Below are 22,954 nucleotides of genomic sequence, written 5' to 3'. Positions count from 1 at the left end.
CTATGTAGGTTTCATTTAATCTTTGAAATTAAAATGAAATTAAATGATTGTGATCTTTTGATGAAATTAGACTAAAATGAACAATAACAAAATAAGAACTTACTTATATTGTTTATATGGTCAATAAAGAAGTGATAGTGGAAAAAAACAAGATCAAATGAAGGTGATGATGTAGGAAGTTGGAAAGATAGCTGAAACTACAAAATGGTATATAACCAGTGAACACTTAGACACACTGATTGATGAACTTCAGCTTTTGGCTTGGTGAGAGCATAAAATGAGAGCAGCTGAGGTTTGCAAATTTGTAATCTCCTTGTGGAAAACCATGGGAAAACACATCTCAGCCTAATAAGATTTATCTACTAAAGAGTCTAGACTTCAACCATTTGTCCTTGTAATTCAAAAGCTAATTCAAATACTGATCTGATGCATTGTGTGAACAAGCATTGCTGATTATCATCGCATACCTGGCATTCTCTTTTATCTGATATCAAAAATATTTGGTAATTCCTGGACTTTCTCTTTTCAAACCCAGTACGGTTTAATTTGAGTCTTAGAACAGTTGTCTTTGAGAAATTCTTCCCTCTACTGCATCTGTGAATGGGCATAGCATGGTTACATACATACTGTCACTCCATAGAACATTAGTTAAATTAAAGCCAAAGTTTAAAGCAAGAGCTTTAACTTACTGGTTTTACTAATGGTTTCCTCCCCAATAGCCACAACAATATTGATACCCTCACACCTTTTAACATAAAGCTTGGTGTTGTCTATTTTGCAGGTGCTGTCATCTATATGATCTCAGTATTTTAAAAATCAGCTTCCAGCCCATATGGTGGTTCATGCTTGTAATACCAGCAGTTGAAGAGGCTGAAATGAGAGGATTCCTTGAGCCCAGGATTTCAAAAGTAACCTGGGCAACATAGCAAGACCCAGTCTCTATCAAAGGTTAAAAAAAAAAGGTGGGCATGGTGATGTGCACCTGTTGTCCTAGCTATTTGGGAGGCCAAGGTGGAAGGATTGCTTGAGCTTGGGAGGCTGAGGCTGCAGTAAGCAGTGATTGCACCACTGTACTCCAGCCTGGGCAACAAAGCAAGACCCTATCTCAAAAAATATATATAATAAAAATAAAAATCAGCTCTCCTTGATTTCTATGTAAATATGCACAGGTGATGTCCATATAGACATAAATAATAATATTTCTGACAATGGGTCCTTATGATCTTCAAAATGTAAAATGTCTATGTGGATAATTGACTGGTCAGTCTCATTAATGACTATAGATTCAATTCTACTTTCTTGTTCTACATAAATTATATAATCTAGCTTTTCATTTCACTTATTTACTGATAACAACAGGAAGAATGACAAGATATCTGTTTTGGAAAATTACTCTGGTAGGAGTAAAGATGAAACAATTATAGAATTGCATGGAAAACTAGAAAAAAGTATGGTCTTCTGATATTCTATCACATCACATACTAAAGGCCTCATGAAACTCAGATATTTTATCTAAAAATGTTATTTTCATCATAGGAATGATCAAAGCATGAGACTACAATTGTTTTAAAATGTGCTTCTATCACAAGCACAGGTGCTAAAACGGAGGGGAAAACATCATTACTGATATTTTCAATGTATGTTTTACTTTTCATCAACATGAACCTCAACTTGATACGATGCAGATTGAAGGAAATCACCCATAATTCCATATGAAGAAGGCCTGTGATATTTTATGGGAAAACAAATAGAGAAAATGCTAACAGAAACCCTATTAAGCATGAATCTTTATGGAGCAAACACAAATCCAGTGGTGAAAGATACACACTCGAGTTCTGTTTGTTGTCTTGGAACAATACGGTTTAGAGGTGACTGGCGGGTGAGGAGAACATATGCGAGTTCACCAAAGAGAAAAGCTGAATGAGGCAATGCCTCTTCCTGACCGTATCTCTTACTCAGATAACTATATAATTTATTGTCCAGTAAAGGGTATATTAAAAAATCATATTAAAAGTCATGCAGTGAAGTTGTCCAGGGAAATCAAGACTTAACAGTCTCACTCTGACAATAATGAACAGGGGGATACCCTCAAGATAGACTAGGGCATGGTAGTAGTACCAGAAACGGACCCATGGAAAATCTTTACCTTATGCTTGAGGTAGGGACCAGGCTAAAGTGAAAACCAGACATAAAATTCTATCTAAAATAAATCCACAATCAAAGAAAATATGTGGTGTACAGGCATAGAATGTCTTTACTGGATCATTGAAATAGTAAGATAAATTCAACTTTTTACATTGCTTTCTTTTCCTCCAGTTAGGGCATGAGGTTTGTCTCTGGGGAGTGACTGTCAATTGGAGCCCTGCCTTTCTGGGGTTCTGGTCAGGGGGTTGTGGATGCTTAACATGTGCCTTTCACAGGACACTTCCTTATCCCAGCAGTGGCCAGGTGTGCATCCCACGACCTGGCCTCCCTCTCACAGAACATCTGTTGAGACTAGGAGATGCCTGGTGACTGTTGCCTGACCTGTGTCCTGTGTATTTCTGACAAGAGCCACTCTCAGAGACCCTGGCCAGGAGGAGAGTTAGGTCCCAGTGTAGGTCAGCTCAGACCCATGGAGGCCACAGAACCAAACATGGGAAATCACAGAAGTAGGTTTCTTACTCACAGATCCAGAGAGAAGAGGGTAGCTGAGAAGAGGGTTTAGCTGTGCCCCCAGCCAAATCTCATCTTGAATTCCCACATGTTGTGGGAGGGAACAGGTGGGAGGTAATTGAATCATGGGGGCAGGTCTTTCCCATGCTGTTCTTCTGATAGTGAATATGTCTCACAAGATCTGATGGTTTTATAAAGGGGAGTTTCCCTGCACAAGCTCTCTTGTCTTGTCTGCTGCCATGTGAGACGTGCCTTTCACCTTGCACCATGATTGTGAGGCCTACCTAGCCATGTGGAACTGTGTGTCTATTAAACCTCTTTCTTCTGGAAATTACCCAGTCTTGGGCATGTCTTTACCGGTGGTGTGAAAATGGACTAATACAGTAGCACACCTCATAGGGCTGAACAAAATGGGGAAGATGAGTGGGGAGCAGGAGAGAGAAAAGGGGTTTGTGGAACTCCAGCCTTTATTGGGCCCAGAACATTACCCAATTAAGTTTTCCACAGGGCACTTGTCTGTGGGGTGAGTGCCAGCAGGCACATTTCTTGACTCCCGCTGCAACCGAGCAGGTCAATGTGGCGTGTGGGGCTGTCCATGTGCGCTGTGAAGTCTGTGGGGTGAGTCAGGTAGGTTGTATCCAACGGTTCCATAGCTGGTAGTCACCAGGAGGAGGCAACTGTGTAGGGTCAAAATCTGGGCCAGCCACACTGAGGAACTGTGAGGGTTAGAACTGGAAATTGTCAAGGGAATCTGAACCCAGCTACCATATGAGAGAGTTCAACTTATGTTCAACGTGAATGGCATGGAAATATTAAAAGGTAAGAATTCACTCCATACGTGCTTCAGGTAAACAGGAGAAACCTAGAATTTATGTAAACAGTGAGAAGATTGGATGCGTTTTCCATCACATATTTTAATACTAGCAGCATATTATATATGTCAATCCGTCAGACATTCAGAAATACATGCTTATGAAAATTTTTTGCACCATCAGACAAAAGACAAGGGTAGAAAACATTTGTAACCCTATAAACACTAGTAAATTAAAAACAGAAGGACCTTTATGTCCTAACATATCTCTGTTGTGAAAGGCTGCCCTGTGAAATAGGGGATTTCTTAAACATATTTTAAAAATCATAGGTGTCAATATTTTTTAGAAATCCATTTAAATTTTCTCTTGTAATTTTACAATGCCTATTTATTTATTTAGTGGCTCTGCTGATTTTGATGTATATCCTAAACTTTATATTTTCTTTAAAGGATGTTTTATACAACTTTATATAAAATGTTTCACTATCTTCACATTCTCTCCCTGTCCTTTTGTTTTGCTCTTATATGGTGGTCTTGAGTCTTTTCTCTGGCTTTTCAAACCTAGTAAGACTAAGACACTAAAGGAACTTTGCCCGTGGTTTGGTAATGCCTTGTAAAGCCCATCCTATGCTCTCGTGCATACAGTGGTCTCCTTTCAGCTCTGTGCTTTTGAGATACCATATACCTAAATTCCAGTACTCCAAATCAGTACTGCTCAGTTTTAGTGACTAAGTTGAAAAATGTATTTTAATAGCAAGTTAGTTTAGTGCACTCTTGCTTCTTTCTTGACTGCTTATATACATATATATTCCTTTAAATGAATCTTGGAATTTACTTAAAAACTTTAAATTATACTAATGAAACTGTATACTGTTGTGAATTCATAAGTGAAGTTGGAAAGAATTTGTCTTTATGATACTAAATCCTTTTTATCCAAGAATCATATGTGTCTTTATATTTACTCCAGTCTATATTTATATCACTGAGTAAATATATAGAAAAGTAGATACATACAGCTGTAGTTATAGATACAAATATATTTATAACATGTTAAATCTATATCTATCCCATATAACATATATACATGTCATATGTGTGTGTGAATATATATGTTTATGTTATTAAAGAGCTCCCTTAAAATTTTTCTTTTATTTCCTATATAATTTTAGGTCGAGCTTGAATTTTCTTTGTATAAACAAGCAAATATTTATACTAGTTTTAATACTGATGTTTAGACATTCTATCTTATTTTAGCATTGAATATTTTCACAATTATTATAAATATTTTCTAATATTAATAATGTACCTGTTAAAAATATTTAAAAGTTTACTTTTGAATTATTTTATGGTTGAATTAAAATTCCTTTAATATGATAGTCAATTTCTAATTTATGCTTTCTCTATGCATATGAAAATTAATCTATCCACTTCTCTATCTCCATGTAGTAACGTATGAAAATCAGGCCTCTCTTCTAATAGACTTACACATGTTTGCATATAGAATATCAGACTCTTTATAGCATTTAAAATCTTTAAAGACATGAATATTGCCTTTTAACAAATATATTTTAGCATGTACTGAGAATCCCCTATTTATTTTTAATTGGAGCTAATCAATATGATTATTAATATTATTGGATTACCAAATTTGGAAACACACTTTCATCCCCAAGGTGGATATTTGTTTTATTTTTTTGCCAATTTCTTGTCTTACTGTTCAAATATTGTTGGATATTATTTTTATTTTATTTGGCATTTTAGTATCAACATTTGTAATTGAGGTACTCTACATATTTTTTCTTCAATATCAGGTGGGTTTTATAATTACTGCTATATTGGATTTGTAGTAGACATTGACAAAAAGTATTCCTGTATGTTTTATAGCTGTATGAAGGAAACTAATATATTTTACCCCTAAATATATTTCCTTGATGTATTTCAAAATGGCTATTGAGAAGGGCTGGAAATGCAAACCTAGATGCAAAGCTGTCTTGGGGAGATTTGCATAGGTAGATAATCTGCTTTGATTCAGACAGGCTTTCTCTGAGGTCTGCCCCCTTGTCTGGATCTAGGAAAGCTTAAATGAGAGTCTGAGGTCTCCAAAGGTCTGAAAGAAACATTTTCTGTCTATTTTCTCTGAGGACTACTCCCAGTGAGGTTCCACCTAGGTAATAAGTCCACTGTTGCTAGCCAGGGTCGTTTTCTCACATAACCTTTCTTTTTTTTCCCTGTGATCCAAGACCCCATTCTTTCTGTAAACTTCATGTGGTAGATAAGCTTCTGCACGCATCGTGTGTCTGGGTCTTCGTTCTAAGGGCTCCGGTGTACACACATTGCAGAAACCTGTATGCCTTTTCTACTATTTACCTGCCTCCTATTAGTGATTTTCAGGGAAACTTCAGAAGGCAACAGGGACATTCTCCTTTAGCCCATTCTCAGACAAAACCCCCCAACATTTAACTGATTCCTAGTAGCTTAAAATCACTTTGAAAAATCCATATATTTATAACCTTTTCTTCCCTCTATGATTTCTGGTCAGCTTGGGTTTTGTTTTTCATTCCATTTACTTCATCCTCAAAAAGATCTATTTTACCTGTATTTATTCTCATTTATGGACATTGAGAAAAGAAAATAACTTTCATCTGAGAAATGCAAGTCCTTTTAAATAATCAGGCCCAGAGAGATATTCAAATGAGACAGCAGTTCTGTCCCGCTCCTCTTTGAGCTGTGTGTTCATCTAGGCTGCGTGCTGTTGCCACAGTAGCTATAAATTAACCAATAACGCCACACCAGACACTATAATCCACACCCAATAATAGTGTAACAGTGTATAGCCAGTCACTAATAAATGTTATTTCCAAAAGCCAATGAGAATTTGTGACAAGCCTCTTTGCATCATCCCACTTCTGGACCCTTTTTTGCCTTTAAGAAACTGCTTGTTGCAAAGCTCCAAAGGGAGTTCATATCCAAGGATACTTGGGTCTGTTTCTTCCAGGCAGCTGTCCTCATTTTGGCTCAAGTAAACTCTTTGAATTACGTTTTGTGCTTCTGCCACTTCCACTTAGATTAACAACATGGATTTGTGTCACCATGTACAGCAATTAAAATGTTTACACTTTTCCCCTCGAGGGCACTGATGTGTTTTTCTGAGCACTTGGAATAGCTACGTAGTGTTTACTGTCTAGATTATGGTTTCTCAACCTTGGTGCTACTTACCTTTAGGACCAGAGGATTCTTTGTTGTGGGAGGCTGCCCTAGCAATGCTTGGTGTTTCGTTTGACCTCTAAATTTCACACCTCCACCAGTCTTGACATCCCCACAATAAACCTAGATATTGACAAATGTCTCCTGGGGAAAACTCTCCACCAGTTGACAGCCAAAATTCTGGAAATATTGGAATTGTCAATTGAGATTTCATGTTATCCAAAACAAATACTTTTCTTTGTTTTTAAACATCTACTTCCATCTACTTATCTACTTATTTTTACTTTTATTTGTAACTTAATTCCATCAAGGAGAGAGAGTGCATTTTCTGTTATGCTAAATTTTTGAAGAATGTATTGATTTTTTATGACCTGATATATGGATGATATGTAGATATTACATGTTTGCATTATCAAATTTCAGGGCGATAATAAAATAAATACTTATAATATTTATATTGTCACTGTTTATTAGTTATTTTCTTTCTTCACTACAGGAGTTTTTCAACCTATAGGCTATTTTTCAATTCTAGGTTATCCAGTAGATTTTGAAATGTTATGATTAAATATCTACTTCTCAAGCATTCATCTTTGCAAATGAAACAACCCCAAGCTCTTATAATGCACATCATATAAAGGGCAGATTAGTCAATATATGGTTCAGAAATAATTATGTAATATTTATAAGAAAATTAAAAATTTAGATCCTTAACTCAGATAACAATCATCCAAATTAAAATTTGATTTCATTACATAATTTAAAATGAAACCAGAATACTAGTAAAAATGTAGATAAGTTTATATAATCTTTTTTAGCTGTAGGACTTTATTAGCATAAATTCAAATACAGGAACCAAAGTAAGATTGAGACCTATAGTCAAAGGTTAAAATGTACACATTATAGGGGCATGATTAAACTAATTTAAAGCATGATAACATGGAGAAATATTGCAAAACGTACATTTTACTGAATTAATTGTTAATACCTAATCATTATGTGAGAACAAAATTAAAGAGTAACTGCACACGCACACACCCACACACAAGTGCAATATTGTCAAATAAACGATGTTCAGCTACACTAGAAATCACACCAGTGTTTTCTCCACAGAAAAGATTAAAAATCACAATAATATTTATTGTATATATGGAGGTAAAGATACTCAAAATATTACCCTAAAATACATTTTTTTTGGAGATGGAGTTTTGCTCTTATTTCCCAGGCTAGAGTGCAATGGCACAATCTTGGCTCACTGCAACCTCAGCCTCCCAGGGTCAAGTAATTCTCCTAGCTCAGCCTCCCAAGTAGCTGAGATTACAGGCATGCACCACCACACTCGGCTAATTTTTTGTATTTAGTAGAGACAGGGTTTCACCATGTTGGTCAGGCTGGTCTGCAACTCCTGACTTCAGGTGATCTACCCACTTCAGCCTCCCAAAGTGCTGGGATTACAGGCATGCGCCTGGCCAGCTTTTTGACATATTTCAAGATGGCTACTCGGAAGACTGGAGATAGCTTCTTCTACAAGAATAGCTGAAAAGCTGTGTTTGTTGGGGAGATTTATATTTGTAGAGAAAGTCTGCATTGATGTAGACAGGCTTTCCCTGAGATACTCCCTTGTCTGGGTTTAGAAAAGATTAACTGAGTCTGGCACGTTTACATTTCTAAAAACCATTTCCTATCTATACTTCCCAAGAGGAGGGCTGCTCCCTGTGAGGTTTCATCCATGTAACAAGACGACCTCTGCTGCCAGGCTCCTCTTTCTTCCTTGTCGTCACCTGTCTTCCACAAAGCCTGATTTACCAACCTACAGCTCTGTGTTTTCTGTAACCTCAAGACAGCATAGGCGTGTTGACTACCTTGGCTTTCCTAGTGTTTTTATATATATAGTATATATTTGTATATCTATTTATAATATACACATATTTGTATAGATATATTTATATATATTATGTAAACTCCAAGTGCATACTTGTGCACATATCTGTAAACCTTTTTTTCTGTTAATTTGTACATTATCAGTTTGTTTTATAGACTCAAATAATTAAAGTTTCAAGGGAAAATTTAAACTTTCCTATAGAGAAAAGACAAATGTATAGGTGACAAATAATATTTAGAGTGTAAGACGCTTTTTAAAGGTATACTTGCAATTTGTGTCAAAACACTTAAATATACATTTGTTATTTTAACAATAAAATTAAAAATAATTTAAGCCAAATACAGAGTATATGCAGAAAATTTAGCAATATATCTATGTAGCACCTTACTGTGCATTACTGTAACCAGCCATCTAATATAAAGAATTAATTAAGGTAGCAGCTACTTTTCAAAGAGCGCATTTTTTTCACAGACCTATTAAATAAGACAAATAACATTTAAACTTTATTTTTAAATTTGCAGAAATGTAGTTCTCAGCAGATGGCTTATTTTAGCAAATTCCATCTTCACATTGTGCTATGCTTTTATGAGTTCCAGGTGTTAACGGAGAATATTTTACTGCTGAAACTATCATGTGTGATATAATTGCTCATTATGTGCCTTAAAACACAAGCAATATAATTATTTTTAACTTGGAGCAAATTAAAATCTTATCAGCAATTTAAAAACTCTGGAGTCGTCTTATGCTGGTTATTTTAAACTTGTATTTTTCTCTTTATGTTTTTAGTGAGTTGTCTTATCAAGGAGAAGAACTCAAGGTGATTATTCTTTTTTTTCTCTTCCATCCACTTCGCAGGTGTGTTAATAATTTCATTTCTCAGAAAATGTTCTTTCATATCCATCTTACAAGATGAGAGACCTTTTAACATCTTCCATTCGGATGTGATACCAGTAATGGAAAATATTCCAGCTTCATGAATATGGTGATACAAATAGTTATCCGTCTAACCTCTTTCAGTGCCAAATGTTTACTTTCCTCAGTGACTTACTCAGTTGACTGCTAATTTCTTCTGAAATCACTAATGAGAGGATCAGAAGTCTGGCTGTTGTCTGTACCTCATATGACTCCCAGTGCAGACAATTGTTTCTATGGAGCACAGACAGTTGAAAGGATTGAATTCCTGCCTAGAATAATTTCTGCTGTGCTTCTTGTCCTTCTTGTGGAAATTTCATATTATGTGAATTGCTTTTCCATCTTGAGAAAAAACGCAACAATTCTCCCACCTGAGAGGAATGTAAACTGTAGTAAGTTAGCAGAACCAATCCGTAAAATTTTTACATTGTTTGTTGCAAAATGCAGCTCTGGTGTCTCCATCACTCAATTTTCTATCCCTCATTGCTCTTTCTTTGACTGCACTAGGATACCTCTAGGCAAATCTGTATTCCCGACACAGAGGGCCCTTTTGGTGAGCTATAAGCACACTCAATGATATGCTGGAATACTAGCTTTTACCTATGACGAAATGGAATCATATCAGTGATTTTTTTAAAAAGGAAATTTAACTCTTGCTATGGTTTGAATGCTTGCACCTTCCAATCTCATGTTAAAATTTGATCCCCAATGTTGCAAGTGGGGCTTACTGGGAGGTGTTTGTTCATGTGGTTGGACCTTCATGAATGGATAATACCCTCCCTGAGAAATCTAAAGCTATCCTCCCTCCTCGGTGCCCTCAGAAATGAGTGTACCATTCTTTATTCACCTATAATTCCAACACCCATCCTTTTTGAGATATTAATTACATGTATGTTACACTGCTGCATATTGTCTGACTTATCAGTGAGTTTCTGGCTTTCTTATTTTAGTTTACCCTTTGTCCTTTAGTTTGTATAGCTTCTATTTTGTTCTATAAATTTTCCGATGTTAGGGTAAAATCCATTACTTATTCTATCTCATGGAATTTTTATTTCAAATATTTATTTTTCATCTATACATGTCACATTTTTCATTTTATAACCTCTATTTTTCTCCTATGTTCAATTTTCATTTAAGTATCTTGACTTATATATGTATTTATCTATATGTATTTATAAAATATATTTACTTTAAGGACCTTGAAATTTCCTTCTTTTCTGTCATTTACAAATGACTTATTTTTATCCTGTTAATATATATCTTAATTATGTATATCTTACGGCTTCTTTGCATGTCAGAGTTTTTTTTTGGGGGGTATTTTGATGTTATGCTAATGAATATCCAGATTTTATTGGCTACCTTTGGACAATGTTGTGGCAGGCTGTTAAGTAACTTCAGGATGAGTATTTGTACGTTGTTGTTTTAAATCTTCTCTTTAAACTTTGTGGAGTTAGTCTAGAGTCATCTGTAATTTGGAGCTAAATGAGCACTGTCACCAGGGTATGAACCTCCAATGGTCTTTACTGAATATCCTGGAGGTACAGAGGGGATTCCCTTCTCTGATTAGAATTTGGAATATAAAGAGAAAAGAGAAAAATAGAAAGCTATGCATAAACACGTGCATTAAAATGAATTTTATGTGGGCTTTTTCATGAAAATGTTCCTAAGGTATTTTATTTTTTTATTGTGGTAAAATACACATAACATAAAATGTACTCTGTTAACCATTTTAAGTGTACAGTTCAGTGGTACTAAATATAGTCATAATATTGTGCAGCCGTCCCTACCATCCATCTCCATAATTGGTTTCACCTTGTAAAACTGAAACTCTAAACCCATTAAACAATACTTCCCCATTTCTTCCTCCCCCCAGCTTCTGGCAACCATCACTGTACCATCTCTATAATGCTAATCAAGCATAGTGGCTGTGTTTCTTGCTTCCTCTAGTCCGCAGGTAGCATACAAATGTAATAAACTACTTATTCATATCACATCTATTTATTTTCTGCCTTATACCAAGCTTGTGGGATTCTATTAAATGCAACATTTTTATACCTACACCTATGCAATACCCATTAGCATCACCTTCCTAAATCAGGGGAAATTGAGCCTGTGTAAGTTGGAGAAACTTCCTCAGATATAAAACTCAACATTGAAGTCTGTATACCTCAATATCCTGCTCTCTTCTCATTTGTCTTTACTGCCTTTTATGTATGTGTTAGATGTTCAACAAATTCTCTTTTTTAAACTGAATTTAAGCAGTGGAGCAGTGTTTTGTTGAACAATAAATATGATATAGGACACTCTTCCTCCCTTTCATTTATGATCCTGTTCATGAAAAGGAGAAATTCTCTCATTGTGCTAGAATCTTAAAATAATGAAAATGCCACTTTCTACATTAAACAGAAACTGCAGGGAATCAAGGTGAATTGCATGAGACATAGAAAACAAGTGGGAAAGAAATCTAGTATAATTTGCCCTTTGTGTACCTTTATTATTTAGCGTTTGAGTAAATGATTCCCCCAAATATCTTCCCCTCTTAATTCATGTCTCTAAAGTAGACATTTATGTCTCACCTTGTCAAGAAGGGCAAACTCTAACATAAATATTTCCCAAAAATGCTTCCCGCTTATACGTAAGCTCAGTCTGGCTAGAAATGCAGCTCACTTCATAAAGATTAATTGGTAGCTAACTTTGCATGCTGTTCTCTGAACTTGAGTGAAACCTCTCCATCAGGTATAGAGGGAATGACGGAAAAAGTGACAACAGAAGATGAATGCTATGTCACTAACCTTCAAAGATGACCTGCCTTTTCTTTCAAATTCTTGATATCTTAATACTTCATTAATTCATCTCTCTTTGCCCTTGGTTCAACATTGTGCTATGCCAAAACTCATGTAAAACAATGATCTAATGTAATAAAAATGGCATTTTTCTTTCATGTAGATGCAAGCTAACTGGCATTTTTACAATCCACATATTTCCTTTGTCAGTTTTTCATTCTGTATTGGAAGTAATTGATAGGTATTTTTGAAGGGATGAAGGTTATTCTGTGTTCATTGTGATCCAAACTATTTTTAGAACTGGGGCGTTTGTAAAACAATTTCTGCCAGCTGACCAAGGATCACTGTGGCAGAAAGCAGCAAACTTGCATAAGATGTCACTGCCTCATCAGTTGGCTTTGAAAATTAGGGACTTACTCTATAGTCTTATGAATCAAAGACATTGATAGATGTAGTATAAGATTACAATCATATTTTCCTTTTGACAGTCACATCATACAGCATGTTGTATTGCAATTAATCTCAATTAGCTGATCACAATTAAAACATAATGTTTATTATTGCTGATAAACAATCATGACTCTCCTGTTCTCAAATGTGCAAGTAATTCTTGTAATTTTAATACAAATTTGCATATTATTATTAATTGATTTAATCTCATTGGATTTGGTTCATGGATCCAATTTATTAAAATATTGAAAATGGGATAATGACTTGAATCCCCATTTCATGTACACTAAAACAACAATTCTTACAATGGTCTGCAAGCCCATCATGATCTGCCGCATGTTAATCGCCAAAATTCTTTTATATCTTCACCCTTGATCTTACCAGTGGTCCTGGCCACCTCACTGTCCTCTGGACATGCCAACAGGCTGCTGCCTTATGACCAAGTCTGTAGTTAATTTCTTGGCTTGGAAAGATAGCCCTCCATATATCCATTGATCAGCTCATTCAACTTCCTCAAGTCTTTACTGAAACTTCACATTCTCGATGAGGCCTATTCAGTATTTCAAACTGCCTCCCAGCTGCAACATTCCAAAACCCCTTACTCTTCTGTGTATTTCTGAAAGGATTTATTGAGATATAATTTACATAGTGTAGAGTGCACACATTAATGTCTACATGTCAATGGTTTTTAGTATATGCACAGATAAGTGGAGCCATCATCACAATGAATTTTAGAGCATTTTCATCACTTCAAAAAGAAACCCCACCTTCTCTAGCTGTTAACCTCCTATGCACCCATCCCCTACTCAATCCTAAGCAACCACAAATCTGTTTTCTGTCTCTATAGATTTTCCTATTCTGTTTTCATCTAAATAGAATCATACAATAGGTGACCTTTTCTGCCTGGCTTCTTTCAGTTGGCATAATGCTATCAAGGTTCATGTACGTATTGGTACTTTATTTCTTTTTATAACTGTACAACATTCAATTTCATGGATAAAACATTTTGTTTATACAATAATATTTTTATTGACATTTGAGTTGTGTTCAGCCTTTGGCTATTTTAAATACTGCTGCTAAAAATACTTGTGTACAATTTGTGTTTGAACACCTCTTTCCAATAATCTGGGTGTATACCTAGGAATAAATTTCTGGGTCATATGACAATTCTATGTTTAAGCCATCAAATTACTTTCCAAAGTGGCCAGTTCTCACCATAGAGTATCTAACTGTGGTTTTGATTTGTAGCTGCCTAATGAGTGATGCTATAGAGTATCTTTTTATGGGATTATTGACCGTTCTTGTATCTTCTTGGAAAACACATCTATTCCTATCATTTATCAGTTTTGAGTTGGGGTATTTGTTACTGAGTTAAAACAATTTTTCTATATTCAAGATACATATATATACAGACATATAGATACGTGTTTTTCAAATATCTTCTCACAATTTTGAGCTGCCTTTTGACTTGCTTGGTTGTCCTTTGAAACACCAATGTCTTTAATTTTTAAGAAATTTTAAATATCTAATTTTTATTTTGTTGCTCATGTTTTTGGGGTTACAGCTATTTCTTTTCTAGATCCAAAATCCTGAAGATTTTCCCATATGGTTTATTCTAGCTCTCGCATGTGTGTCCTTAATTCATTTGAGTTAATATTTTTGTATGCTTTGGGGTAAGGGTTCGAATTTATTATTTTGCAAGTGGTGATCCAAGTGTACGTTGTTGACCCAGTTTGTTCAAAGACTGTCTCTTCATCATTGAATTGCACATGGCACCCCTGTAAGAATCCATTGACTATAGACACATAGTTTTATATATGGACTGTCAATTTTCTTCCATCAGTCTATGTATTTTTCCTTCATCAGTATTTTGTTGTCTTGATTACTGATACTCTGCAGTAAGGTTTGGAGCATGGGGGTGTGAATTATCTTAATATGTTTCCTTTTTTCAAGATTATTTTGGCTGTTTTGTGTCCCTTACAATTCCATGTGTATTTTAGAATCGGCTTGTCAGTTTCTAGACAGAAGTCTGTTGGGATACTTGCAGGGATTTCATCAAATCTGTAGTTCAAATTGTAAAGTACTACAATATTAAATCTTCTAATTCATGGGTGTAAGGTGTTTGCTAATTATTTAGATATTCTTTAAACAATAATTTTTAATTTTCAGAGTGAACTCTTTTATCACGTTTTCCAAATTAATTATTATTTCTTTTTTGATGCTATTTTAAATTGAAGTGTTTTCTTAATTTCATTTTGGGGTTTTCATTGTAGATGTGTGCAATTGATTTTTGTACCTTTATCTTGTATGCTGTAATATTGCTGAAATAATTTACTAGTTCTATCGTTCAGTGGATTCCTTAAAATTTTCTATATACAGGAATGTTATTTTCAAATAAAGTTTTATTTCTTCCTGTTCAATATGGGTGACTCTTATTTTTTTGGTTGCCGATTTGCCCTGCATGAAATCTTTAGTACAGTGTTGACTAGAAGAGGTCAAAGTAAATATCTTATTCTTATCTTTGACCATAGCTGGAAAGCATCCTTTACCATTAAGTTGCATGCTTGCTGCTGGTTTTCCACAGGTGCCATGTATCTGGTGTAGAAAGTTATTCCTGGTTCACTGAGTTTTTATTTTTATTTTTAATCATTAAACAATTTGGATTTTGTTAAATGTCTTTTCCGAATCTATCGAGATGATCATGCAATTCTCGTTTCTTATTCTATGGATAAGATGTATTACCTTAATGGATTTTGGGCTGTTAAACCAACCTGGGATTACTTGTATAAATTTCACTTTGCCATAGTGTATAATTCTTTATATGTTGCTAGATCTGATTTGTTAGTATTTTTTAAGGAATTTTGCATTTATACTTATAGTAGTTTTATTTTTCTATGCTATTTGGACTAATTTTTATATCAAGGTAACACTGGCCGCACAGAATAAATTGGGAAGTGAATATTTCTCTCTTTTAAAAAAGCTAGTCAAGAATTAGTATCAATTATTCAACACTAATAAATATTATATTATAAATTATTAATATCTCTAATTTTTACTTTCTTCCTCTGCTTGCTTTAGGTTTAGTTTGTCATTCTTTCCAGTGCCTTAATGATGAAGGTCATCTTATCTCATCCTTTCCTTTGTCTTTTGATTTTCTAAATAGTGTCTTTTAGCATCAGGTGAGCTCCCCAGGTTGGTAGTACTCCATGTTTATTGCTGTACAACAGTGACAGGTAATATGTCCTGAAGACAATGGAAACTTAACATTCAAAATCTCCTAGATTCCACCTTATATGATATGTCTCTTCAATTGGTCCTAATTTCTACCCTTTCTGTATTATAAACCATGAGTACAATGGCATTCTATGAGTTCTGTGAGTCTTTCTGGTAAATTCTTGAAACTGAGGGTGTTCAGGGGAAACCCCTGAACTGGCAGTTGGTGTCAGAAGTGAGAATCGTCTTATATGGCCTCTTCCTTTGAACTTTGCAGCTGGACGCAAACTCTGCACAATTTGGGCCAGAAGTCTCGTGTTGACTTTGCAGCCTAAAGCATCTTGTAGTTTGTCTAACCCTCAATAAATTTGCTTTCATCAAATATTGTATTTGTTACCCCAAAATTACCATCACGTTTTTTTTCTCCAAATAACTAACATTGGGAGAAATAGCCAGCTGAGTCTGTAACTCAACAGAAACAAGTGATCCATATACCATATACCATATAAGTGGCCATTTCATTTTGCCTTCTTCCACCAAATCTTAGCAACCTCAACCATTGCCATGAGCCACTGTAGGCCTTCAAGCTACAAACAAACAAGTATCTTTTAAAAATACTTCATACTCCCATTTGATACATTTACCAGCAAAGAGATGCCTACTTTAACTCTATGCAAGTGGCTCATATTCACGAAGTCTGTAGATATTACTCATGTAGTGTGAGAAAATCATCCCAGTGATGCCAGCACATTCTCCTTCCCATGATCTGCTTAGTTTGCAAACATATTCAGGTCATGGGTGAGAGATTTGTATTTCACAGTACAACAGTTTTATGGAGGGCATTGAAACTTACCTTGAACATTTTAGTACAGTCACACATCACTGAATGATAGGGATACGTTCTAACAGATGTATCCATAGGCAATTTCATCATTTTGCAAACATCACAGAGAATATTACAAACACCTAGATTGTACAGCCTACCACGTCTAGGTTATATGGTATAGCCTCTCTCTCCCAGGCTATGAACCTGTGTACTACATTACTGTACTGAATACTGCAGGCAATAAGAACACAGTGGTAAGAGGTTATGTATCTAAACATACTTAAACGTAAAAAAGTATGTAAAAATATGTATTATAATATCATGGGACCACTTTTGTATATGTAATCTGTCTTTGACCAAAATGTTATTATGCATGACATGACTCTATGACAAAAATAAAATAACACATTGTAAAAAAGTACACAGGTATCAAACATATTAATATTGTAAAATAAAAATATTTATTTAGTGTAAGAATTTGTAATGATCACAAAATATTCACAGCTTATATTTTAGTACAGTTTCAAATGCCTAGTGTAATTACTATTTATTTCTGTGTGTATTTTAAACATGTATATAATAAATATTTTTCAGGTTCAACAATATATATCAATCCAACTGGCTCTTATAAATATTAGTTAAAATCAATTAGCAAATATATATATATATATACACACGTGTATCAGTCTGTATGCATGTATGTGTGTGTAAATGTAACTGTATGTGTGTGTAAATGTAACTGGATGCATCCTAATATTTACCCTTACCTACAAGATTTCCAAGATTCATTTATTATCTTTAGATGATGTGCATTTAAAAATTTACCAAATAAAACTGTAATCGTGGAAAATATCATGATGTTATTAAATTCATCTTGTGCACATAATTGTTTCTTTAAATTTTGTTTCTTGCAAAACTTGCGGTAATGCTCATGCACAAAATAATTTTCCAAATAAAAAATAAAAACATTTTCTCAGTCATTAATTCTTAAAATTATTTCTCCCCAATAATTAATGTGAATTAATTTTTAATTCTTAATTAAAGAATAATGTTGCCCTTCAGAGTTCTGAATCTTTTGCATGTTGTATACATTTCACTAACTAGGACAACTTCTGGAATATTGGCATTAATTAATGTCACTCAGCAATTAATGATTTCAAAGAAATTAAATACCATTCATATTCTGAATCACAAGGGTACATTGGCATCTAATTTAATCAAGCTCTTTGTATCATCATATACACTTTAATTACTGAACAAATATTTCTCTGTGTGAGAAAGATTGAGCAGGTTATTGTGCTTTTTTAAGATGCAACTTTTGCTTAATCTAGAGATAGGCAATGCTCCCTATAAAGGACAAAGAGAAAAACGAAAGAGCAATAGAGATGTGACAGGCATGGAAAAAGACAATACATTTATAAAACAAATAGGGCCACAGATGTTGATAATGGGGATCAAATCTTGAGATACTGACTCAGTTTATAACCGCACTGTACAATACAGCAAATCATTTGTTACTTTTTTTACAAATGGAATTTAATTTAATTAAGATGAATACAGTGTTTTAAACAAGACAGGTCATCTTAAAATAAAGTAGTGGAATAAAGTGTTAAAACCAATGTTAAAGTCATAAACATTTTATAAAGAATTTTTGTCATGTAATTTAATATTTTTCTTTATTTAAAATCACCCAAATCAAAATAATTTTATCTTAATTAACAAATATTCATCAGAAGTTAACTAATTATTACTTTATAATACTAGGTTTAAAAGTTCTTAACTATATTTTTAATCATATATGCTTATACATAAAATAGACATAGGGTATATGTTTACATGTTCCCAATATTATATTGTAATTGTTCCTATGGAATGGAATGGAATCATTGAATGGAATTGAATGTAATCACCAATGAAAATAATCGAATGGAATCATAGTCAAATGGAATCAAGTGCAATCATCGAATGGAATCTAACGGAATCATTGTCAAATGGAGTGCAATGGAATCATTGAATGGAATTGAATGGAATCACCAATGAATGGAATTGAAGGGAATCCTGAATGGAAACATCAACGAATGGAATCAAAAGGAATCATCATCAAATGGAATTGAATAGAATCATCATATAATGGAATTGAATGGAATCGTGGAATGGAATATAATGGAATCATCATCGAATGGAATTAAATAGAATCATCAGATAAAATTGAATGGAATAATCATCTAATGGAATCGAATTGAATCATCATTGAATGGAATTGAATGGAATCATCATTGAATGGAATTAAATAGAATCACTGAAAGAGATTGAATGGAATCATCATCGAATGGAAACGAATGGAATCATCATCTAATGGAATCGAATGGAATCATCATCAAATGAAACCGAATGGAATCATCGAATGCAACAGAATGGAATCACTGAATCGATTCAAATGGAATCATCATCGAATGGAATTGAATGGAATCATTGAAGGCACTTGAAAGGAATCATCGAATGGACTCGAAAGGAATCATCATCAAGTGGAATCAAATGGAATCATCGAACAGACTCGAAAGGAATCTTTGAATGGACTCGAATGGAATCATTATAGAATGGAACCTAAGGGAATCATTGAATGGACTCGAATGAAGTCCTCATCGATTGTAATCACAGGGAATCACTGAATGGACTCAAATGGAAACGTCAAATGGCCTCAAATTGAATCATCATTAAATGGAATCAAATGGAATTATCGAATGGACTCGAATAGAATCATCAACTGGAATCGCAAGCAATCATCGTTGAGTGGAATCGAATGAAAACATCGAAAGGACTTGAATGCAATCTTCGAATGGCCTCGAATGAAATCATCATCGAACAGAATCGAATGGAATCATCACATGAACTCGAATGGAATCATCATCGAATGGAATAGAATGGAATCATCATCAAATGGATTTGAAAGGAATCATCTAATGAACACGAATGGAATCATTATCGGACTGAGTAGAATGCAATCATCATCAAATGGAATCGAATGGAGTCTTCCAATGGACATGAATAGAATCATCATCGAATGGAATCGAATGGAATTATCTAATGTACTCGAATGGAATCATCATCCAATGGAATAGAATGGAATCATCGAATTGATTCAAATGGAGTCATCTTCATATGGAATGAAGTGGAATCATCAAATGGACTTGAAAGTAATCATCATAGAAAATAATCGAATGGAATCATGGAATGAACTCGAATGGAATCCTCATGGCGTGGAATCAAATGGAATCATCCAATGGACCCGAATGGAATCATCATCAAATGGAATCGAATGGAATCATTGAATGCACTCGAGTGGAATCATCATCGAATATAAACGAAAGCAATCATCAAATGGATTTGAATAGAATCATCGAATGGCTCGAATGGAATCATCATCGAATGGAATCAAATGGAATCATCGAATTGACTCGAATGGAATTGTCATCGAATGGAATCGAATGTAATCATCGAATGGACTGGAATGGAATCATCATAGAATGGAATCGAATGGAATCACTGAACGGACTCGCATGGAATCATCATCGAATGGAATCAAAGGGAATCATTGAATGCACGCGAATGGAATCATCATCGAATGGAATCGAATGGAATCATCGAATGGACTCTGAAGGAATCATCATCGAATGAAATTGAGTGGAATCACCAAATGGACACAAATGGAATCATCATCGAATGGACTCTAATGGAATCATCATCGAATGGAATTGAAAGTAATCATCCATTGGATTCAAATGGAATTATCGAATGGACTCGAATGGAATCATCGAATGGACTCGAATGGAATCATCATCGAATGGACTCTAACTCAATGATCGAATGGATTCTAATGGAATACTTGAATGGAAACAAATGGAATCATCGATTGGACTCCAATGGAATTATCGAATGGGCTCAAATGGATCATCGAATGGACTCGAATGGAATCATTATCTAGTGGAATCAAATGGAACCATCTAATGGAATTGATCGGAATCATCATCGATTGGAATCAAATTGAATCATCGCATGGAATCGAATGCAAATATCATCAAATGGAATCAAATGGAGTCATCATCGAATAGAATTAAATGGAATCATCGAATGGAATCAAATGGAATCATTGTCAAATGAAATGGAATGGAATCATTTAATGGAATTGAATGGAATAGCCAGTGAATGAAATCGAATGAAATCATCATCGAGTGGAATTGAATGGAAAAATCATAGTTTGGAATCAAATGGAATAATCTTCGAATAGAATAAAAAGGAATCATCCAAAGGAATATAAATGAATAATCATCGAATGGAATCAAATAGAATCATCGAATGAAATTGAATGGAATAATAATCAAATGGAATCAAATGGAATCATCATCAAATGGAACCGAATGGTATCACTGACTTAAATGGAATGGAATGGTCATGGAATGGAATCGAAAGGAATCATTGAATGGCATGAAATGGAATCATTGAAGGGAATCAAATGGAATCATCGAATGGATTCTGATGGAATAATCATCGAATGGAATTGAATGGAATCATGGAAAGGACCCGAATGAAATCATCATTAAGTGGAATCCAATGGAATCATCGAATGAACACGAATTGAATCATGATTTAATGGAATCGAATGCAATCATCGAATGGCATCAAATGGAATCATCATCGAATGGAATCTAATGGAATCAATGAATGGACAATAATGGAATAATCGGATGGGCTTGAGTGGAATCATCATCGAATGGAATTGAATGGAATCATTGAATGGACTTTAATGGAATCATCATTAAATCGAATCAAATGGAATCATCATTGAATGGAATCGAATGGAGTCATGATCAAATGGAATCACCAAATGGAATCGAATGGAATGATCATCAAAGGGAATTGAAGGGAATCATCAAATGAGAATGAAGGGAGTCATCAAATGGAATCGAGTGGAATCATCGAATGGATTCGAATGGAATCATCATCGAATGGAATCAAATGGAAACATCAAATGGACTCCAATGTAATCATCATAAAATGGGAAAGAATGGAATCATCAAATGGACATGAATGGAATCATCATGGAATGGAAGCGAATGGAATCATCAAATGGCATAGAATGCAATCATCATCATATGGAATCAAATGGAAAAATCGAATGTACTCAAATGGAATCATCGAACGGACATGAGCGGCATCATCATCAAATGGAATCGAATAGAATTATCAAATGGACTCGAATGGAATCCTCATCGAATGGAATCGAATGTAATCATTGAACGGAGTTGGATGGAATCAACATGGAATTTAATCGAATGGAGTCATCGAATGGAGTCGAATGGAATAATCATCGAATGTAATCATTGAATGGAGTTGAATGGAATCAACATGGAATGGAATTGAATGGAGTCATCGAAAGGAGTCGAATGGAATCATTGAATAGCATAGAGTGGAATCATCATAGAATGAAGTCAAAAGGAATCATCAACTGGACACGAATGGAATCATCCTCACACGGAATCGAATGGAATCTTTGAGTGGACTCGAATGGAATCATCATCAAATGCAATCAAATGGAATCATCATCTAATGGAATCTAATAGAATCATCAAAGAATGGAATCACATGGAATCGTCAAATGGAATATAATTGAATAATCGTTGAAAGGAATCAAATAGAATCATCAAATGAAGTCGAATGGAATCATAATCAAATGGAATCAAATTGAATCATCATCAAATGCAATTGAAAGGAATCATCATTGAATGGAATCGAATGGAATCATCAAAGAATGTAATTCAAAGGAATCATCATAGAATGGAACCAAATAGAACCATCAAATGGAATCCAATGGAATCATCAAATGGACTCGAATGGAATCATCATCGAATGGAATCGAATGGAATCATCGAACGGAATTGAATGGAATCATCATTGAATAAAATTAAATGGAATCATCGAATGGACTCGAAAGAAATCATCAAGTGGAACCGAATGAAATCATGGAATGGAAACGAATGGAATCATCATCGAATGGAATTGAATGGAATCATCTAACGGAATGGAATGGAATCATCATCGATAGGGATCAAATAGAATCATTGAATGAAATTGAATGGAATATCATTTAATGGAATCGAATGGAATCATCACCAAATGGAATCGAATGGAATCATCATCAAACAGAATCGAATGGAATCTTCAAC

Source organism: Homo sapiens, chromosome 16, assembly GCF_000001405.40.
Source record: "Homo sapiens chromosome 16, GRCh38.p14 Primary Assembly".
Classification (NCBI taxonomy): Eukaryota; Metazoa; Chordata; class Mammalia; order Primates; family Hominidae; genus Homo; species Homo sapiens.
The sequence above is the reverse complement of the archived record's forward strand: the minus strand, read 5'-3'. Positions refer to the sequence as shown.